General features: G+C 44.4%; 4 annotated features.

Moving 5' to 3' along the window:
- Positions 28-197: an enhancer, noted in NCBI's record as "experimental_24992 CRE fragment used in MPRA reporter constructs". NCBI's record gives its function as "activates a minimal promoter by MPRAs in K562 erythroleukemia cells, with activity observed for the non-introgressed 12:118454301 variant allele {active_cell/tissue: K562}" and the evidence as "EXISTENCE:reporter gene assay evidence [ECO:0000049][PMID:34662402]".
- Positions 2405-2574: an enhancer, noted in NCBI's record as "experimental_24987 CRE fragment used in MPRA reporter constructs". NCBI's record gives its function as "activates a minimal promoter by MPRAs in K562 erythroleukemia cells, with activity observed for both the introgressed and non-introgressed 12:118451924 or rs79669344 variant alleles {active_cell/tissue: K562}" and the evidence as "EXISTENCE:reporter gene assay evidence [ECO:0000049][PMID:34662402]".
- Position 2489: a transcriptional cis regulatory region, noted in NCBI's record as "Neanderthal adaptively introgressed variant 12:118451924 (GRCh37/hg19 assembly coordinates) or rs79669344 in the experimental_24987 CRE". NCBI's record gives its function as "modulates activity of the experimental_24987 enhancer by MPRAs in K562 erythroleukemia cells {active_cell/tissue: K562}" and the evidence as "EXISTENCE:reporter gene assay evidence [ECO:0000049][PMID:34662402]".
- Positions 6358-6558: a silencer, noted in NCBI's record as "peak1990 fragment used in MPRA reporter construct". NCBI's record gives its function as "represses an SCP1 promoter by STARR-seq MPRAs in K562 erythroleukemia cells {active_cell/tissue: K562}" and the evidence as "EXISTENCE:reporter gene assay evidence [ECO:0000049][PMID:32103011]".

Genomic DNA, 6613 nt, shown 5'->3' with positions numbered 1-6613 from the left:
CCAGCGTCCCTCCAAGCTCCGCCCCTCCAGCCTGCTCTGAACTCTCAGATACCCAGGCGCTTCCAGAGCAGGGCAGCGGGAGAGGCAGGGCCCCCTGCAGCCCCAGTCATCATTACATATTAAGATCTCAAGGCCAAAGCCAATTCCTGCCATCGCCAAGCTTCAAACACTTAAATTCAAAGGAACAAAAGCTGCCGGGGCTCAAAAAAAAAAAAAAAAATCTAAGAAAAAAAACAACACCGAGTAAAACGGCTGGGTCTTGAATATAGATGCCTTTGCGAAAGAAGGCTTGAGATACCTCTCGGCCCCCAAGCTGGGAGGTGAATATTTGGAAATGAAAACAACCCCAAACAAACACAACTGCAACCTACCTATCTCCGGAATCCGTGCCCCTCGCCCAAAAAGTTTAGGGAACCAACCTCCAGAAAACGACTCCAGAGAAAAACAAACAGAAACTTCCAGTTGGGTTAATCTGTGTCGCTGGAAGGTCTAGTTCATGAACACAGAGGACAAGGTCCTTGTGATCTGAGATACTGAGGAGAATCGATATCAACATTTTAGGTTTTTTTCCTGAGGCGAGGAGAATTCTAGATCACTTTTATTTTCTTCTTTTTTGTTGGTCTGTATTTTCTTTTCTTTTTTTTGGTGTCTTGCTCTGTCACCCAGGCTGGAGTGCAGTGGCGCTATCTCGGCTCACTGCAACCTCTGCCTCCCGGGTTCAAGCGATTCTCTGCCTCAACCTCCGGAGAAGCTGGGATTACAGGCGCGCGCCACCACGCCTGGCTAATTTTTGTATTTTTAGTAGAGATGGGATTTTGCCATGTTGGATAGGCTGGTCTCGAATTCCTGACCTCAAGTGATCCACCCGCCTCAGCCTCCCAAAGTGCTGGGATTACAGGCGTGAGCCACTGCGCCTGGCCTGGTCTGTATTTTCCAGCAATGAGCATGCAAAGCATCCATATTGAAGTCTTTTCTTTTTTTTTTTCTTTTAACATGATGAGGAAGACAAAAATCCTGGAGGATTTTTGAGGCTGGCCTGGGGTCAGCAGTGTTCTGATTAGGAGGTAGCAATACTCTTTGCATAGGATTACATCACTGTCACCTGCTTCAGGAACACAGCAGAGGGACAGTGGCAAGTATGTGATGGCAGTTATGGCTTCACCCTAGCCCCTGCCTGGGGACCCCGAAGAAGGGGATCAGCTAGGGCTTGTGATGTGACAGTGCCCCTACTCTGCTTGCTCCCAGGAAACTTTAACACTGGGGGCTTAGATCATTAGCATGCCATTTTTAAACTTTTCTTTCTTTCTTTTAAGATAAAACTGGTTTTATTCATTTTTATCTCCAGGAAGGGAATCATAAATGATTAACAAGTTTTTCTTAAATACTAAGGCTAAAAATCAGCACATGTTTACAATTAATTTGCTGACACATGCTGAGGTGAGATATAGATGCCTCTGAATTAAAGTTATAGAAACACATTAAATATTTGTCATGTATTGCCAAATTCTGGGGTCTTTGAACACTCCTGGGGTTTTGTTCTGTTTCGTTTTTGAGAGAAGGTCTCACTATGTCACCCAGGCTGGAGTGCAGTGGCACAATCACGGCTCACTACACTCTCTAACTCCCCGGCTCAAGTGATCTGCCTGCCTTGGGCCTCTTAAAGTGCTGGGATTATTGGCATGAGCCACTACACCCAGCCCACTTCTGTTTTTTAAAAGGCATAAAATACAAGTGATGGGTATAAAAATAAAGGAAAACAGCTGATACAATTTTAGAAAACAACTGATACAATAACTAAGCAAAATTATGAAAGATTACTAAAGAAATAAATGGTGCTATACCCTCCTCACCAACGATCTAATTGTTGAGACGCAGGCTTCACACTGGGGTAAAATCCTAAAGGGTGGCTGATATGGTTTGGCTCTGTTTCTCCACTCAAATCTCATCTTGAATTGTAATCCCCAGGTGTCCAGGAAGAGAGGTGAGTGGATCATGGGAGCGGTTTCCCCCATGCAGTTCTTGTGATAGTCAGTGAGTTCTTACAAGATCTGATGGTTTGATAAAGAGCTCTTCCTACTTCACTCTTTCTTCTCTCTCCTGCCGCCTTGTGAAGAAGGTGCCTGTTTCCCCTTCGCCTTCCACCATGATTGTAAGTTTCCTGAGGCCTTCCCAGCCATGTAGAACTGTGAGTCAATTAAATCTCTTTCCTTTATAAATTACCCAGTCTTGGGTATTTCTTTATAGCAGTATGAAAATGGACTAATACAGTGGCTTTTGAAACTAAAGGAGAAGTCATCAAGAAAGCATTGCTTTGGGTGTCAGAAGACCTGCCTCGAATCAGTTCAACTCTAAAAATCTTTACACAGCCTATGGAGAGAAACCTAAGCAAGTCCCCAAATCCTCAAGTGTTCCAGGAGAATGAAAAGAATTATAAAGGCTAAAGAATTATTAGAATCAGTGCAGTGAACATGTAGACCAAAGCATTCCTACATGCCAGGAAAATGGTGCATTTGAATGTTTTTGCTTCTCATGAGAAAGGCAATTTAAGTTGCAAGGCAAAGGCAAACTTTTGAAGATGGCCACGTGGACTCTGGATCCTTCTCTCTTTGTTCATGATTTGTTCTCCCTTCAGTGGTTTTGCTCCTTGCCAAGCATTAGGTACCCTTGGGGTGGGATGCCACTTTTTCCACTTAGCCTTGGGCAGGTTTCTTCTCTCCTTATCCAATAATATTTACTCAAAGATTGTTGTAAGGATTAAATGAAAGAACAAATGTGCAGCATCCAATACATCGCCACCCTACTCTTCCCTTCCCTCCTAACACTCTCCACCCAAACTGTTCTGGTTTCAAATTTGTCCTCTGAAACAAAACCCAAAGGATTGGCTAGTGGAACTATGCCATAATCTGCCCTTATTGATGGTTAAGGCCATCCTTACCATCATGGTACGAGCCATTCATGGTAAGAACCATCCTTCTAAGGACCTTTGCATTAGAAGCATGATGCTGCCACCTCCTTGAGCTGGAAGATTCAAAAAAGAACAGAACAACTTATCATAAAACTCTGTGTGCATCTGCTGTTCCGTTAACTTGGAATGTAGAATTCTCCTGTGTTGACATTAGATTATATGTTGCAAAGTCATCTATTGTATGCCTTCCCAATGGAATGTAAGCTCATTGGAGGAGAACCTTGACTTACTCACCACTGTACTTCTGGGGCCTGAAACATTGCCTGGCTCAAAGGAAGTACTCAACTCATAACTGTTTGATGAATGAATGAATGAAAATGGCTCATATCCATTAGGCAGTTTCTATGGCCGAGACACTGTTCTAAGCACTTTACGTTTATTATGATCACTCAATTGTTACAAGAAGCCCAAGTTACTATCATTGGCCCCATTTTGCAGATATGTTAGGTACCTTGCTTAGGTTCTCACTTGTAAGGGGCAGAACTGGATCTTGCTAATATAGTCTGATTCTATATAGCCCATGCTGGGACAACAGCATCAACAGCAGCCCCTGGGAACTTGTTAGACATTCTAATTATTCTTCCCACCACCTCAAACCCAAGACATCTTAAACTTCACAGCTGGGGCCCAGCCATCTGTGTTGTGACAAGCCCTTGAGGGGATTCTGAATCGCTCAGGTTTGAGAGTCATATCACTATACTACCCTGCTTCTCAGTCCTCAAGCACTCCAGGAATTTGATTTCCTATTTATTTATTTATTTGAGAGAGGGATCTCACTCTGTCACCCAGGCTGGAGTACAGTGACACTATCGCAGCTCACTGCAACCTCCACCTCTAGGGCACAAGTGGTCCTCTCGCCTCAGCCTCCCTAGTAGCTGGGAATGTGGGCGCATGCCACAACGCCCGGCTAGTTTTTGTATTTTTTGTAGAGACAGGGTTTTGCCATGTTTCCCAGGCTGGTCTTGAACACCTGGGCTCAAATAATCCACCCACCTTTGCCTCCCAAAGTGGCTCATACTGGGATTACAAGCATGAACCACTGCACCCAGCCGCAGGACTTCACTTTCTAAGAAACACAATGGATGCTGTCTAAAAACAAAATTTTATCAAATTGAATTTAATGATCTCATTGTCTGTTATTTTCTGCTTTTTTTTTTTTTTTTTTTTTTTGAGATGGAGTTTCACTCTTGTTGCCCAGGCTGGAGTGCAGTTGGGCAATCTTGGCTCACTGCAACTTCTGCCTCCCAGGTTCAAGCGATTCTCCGGCCTCAGCCTCCTGAGTAGCTGGGACTACAGGTGCCTGCCACCATGCCTGGCTAATTTTTTGTATTTTTAGTAGACACAGGGTTTCCCCATATTGGGCAGGCTGGTCTCAAACTCCTGACCTCCGTTGATCCACCCACCTCAGCCTCCCAAAGTGCTGAGATTACAGGCATGAGCCACCGTGCCCAGCCATCTTTTATTTTCAATTCATGAATTGGGCAGCATCCCATCTGTAAAACAGAAAGGTGCTCCAGCGAGCTGAGCAAGGGATGGGTTTTGTATGCAGAAGAACTAAAGAAGGCAGAAACACAGGCTAGAAAGTGAACTGATCATTTCAAAGCTACTTTCCTTATAAGATTAAAGCAGAGGAGACATTGTTATGCTTGTTCAACTTGACTAGGCCCTTTTGGATTGGTTGCTGTAAATCTGGTTTTTTGAATACTGGCCTTTTTCTTTCTTTCTTTTTTTTTTGAGATGGAGTCTTGCTTTGTCATCCAGGCTGGAGTGCAGTGGTGCAACCTCGGTTCACTGAAGCCTCTGCCTCCTGGGTTCAAGTGATTCTCCTGCCTCAGCTTCCCTAGCAGTTGGGATTACAGGCGCCTGGCACCTCACCCAGCTAATTTTTGTAATTTGGTAGAGTGGGTGTTTTACCATGTTGGCCACAATGGTCTTGAACTCCTGTGGTTCACCTGCCTTGGCCTTAAGTGGTCCACCTGCCTTGGCCTCCCAAAGTGCTGGGATTACAGGCATAAGCCACTGTGCCCGGTTGAAAACTGGCCCATTTTAAAGTTCCATTTGATTGCATGGCGGTTAGCGTAGGTGACTCCATTTTGGTTTGGTCTGGTCTATCAAGGCCTAGTGCAGGAACTTAGTCCAAACAATGCCTCTCATAAGTTTTATTTAATTTTTAAGTTTTATTTTCTGAAAACTTGTCAGGTTCATACCATAAATTTTATTTAACAGTACTCACATGTCTATTGTGGAAAAACAAAGTTGTTCTAGTATTATTATGATTTAAAAAAAATTTTTTTTTGTAGAGATGGAGTCTCACTGCATTGCCAGGGCTGCTCTCAAACGCCTACCCTCAAGGGATCCTCCTGCTTTGGCCTCCCAAAGTGCTGAGATTAAAAGCATGAGCCACAGCGCTTAGCCAAGTTTTCCTACTAGATGTCATTTGTGTGTGTGGTTTTGCTTATTTCTGTTTTTGCTATTAATTAAAGATATAGCCCTTTGAGCAAGTTACTTAACTTGTCTTTGGACCTCAGTATTCACATCTGTAAAATGGGCAGGGGTAGGGACTGGACTAGCTCAGTGACTTTTAGCCCAGGCTGACACTAAAAGCACCTGGAGAACTTTATTAAAAAATTCCATTATCAGAAGTTCAGCAAGACCAATTAAACTTGGCCTCTGGAAGCGGGACCCTCCGCTGACATTTTATTTATTTATTTATTTATTTTTAATTTAATTTTTGGAGATGGAGTCTTGCTCTGTCTCCCAGGCTGGAGTGTAGTGGAGTGATCTCGGCTCACTGCAACCTACGCCTCCCAGGTTCAAGTGATTCTCCTGCCTCAGCCTCCCGAATAGCTGGGATTATAGGTGCCGGCTACCACGCATGGCTAATTTTTTTGTATTTTTAGTAGAGCTGGGGCTTCACCATGTTGGCCAGGCTGGTCTTGAACTCCTGACCTCAGGTGATCTGCCCACCTCGGCCTCCCAAATTGCTGGGATTGCAGGAGTGAGCCACCACGCCCAGCCTCCACTGGCATTTTATTTATTTTTCTTTTTTTTTTTTTTTTTTTTGAGACAGAGTTTTTGCTCTTGTTGCCCAGGCTGGAGTGCAATGGCACAATCTCGGCTCACCGCAACCTCCACCTCCTAGGTTCAAGCGATTCTCCTGCCTCAGCCTCCCGAGTAGTTGGGATTACAGGCATGCACCACCACGCCCGGCTAATTTTGCATTTTTAGTAGAGACAGGGTTTCTCCATGTTGATCAGGCTGGTCTCGAACTCCTGACCTCAGGTGATCCGCCTGCCTCGGCCTCCCAAAGTGCTGGGATTACAGGTGTGAGCCACTGCACCCGGTCTGGCATTTTAAAGAGGCTTCTCAGGTGATTATAATATTCAGCCAAAGTGGAACTACTGTGCTAAATAAAGCCAATCACAGCCATCCTGGACCTCTTGCTCGTGATTGGCTTAAGAGATGTGCATGTGACTCAGTTCTGCCCAATTTTGATGTAAGATGAAATGATGGGAGGGGCTTTCGGGAAGCTTTTTCTCATAACTTTGCTGATTCTTGCACTAGGTAGTCTTTACTTTGTAAGTACCAAAATGCTTTCACTGTAAAGAGAAAGAGAGAGAAAGACTGGAGTTGCAAACTCACATGTCT

The sequence above is a fragment of the Homo sapiens genome, chromosome 12 (assembly GCF_000001405.40).
Source record: "Homo sapiens chromosome 12, GRCh38.p14 Primary Assembly".
Taxonomy (NCBI): Eukaryota; Metazoa; Chordata; class Mammalia; order Primates; family Hominidae; genus Homo; species Homo sapiens.
The sequence above is the reverse complement of the archived record's forward strand: the minus strand, read 5'-3'. Positions and strand labels throughout refer to the sequence as shown.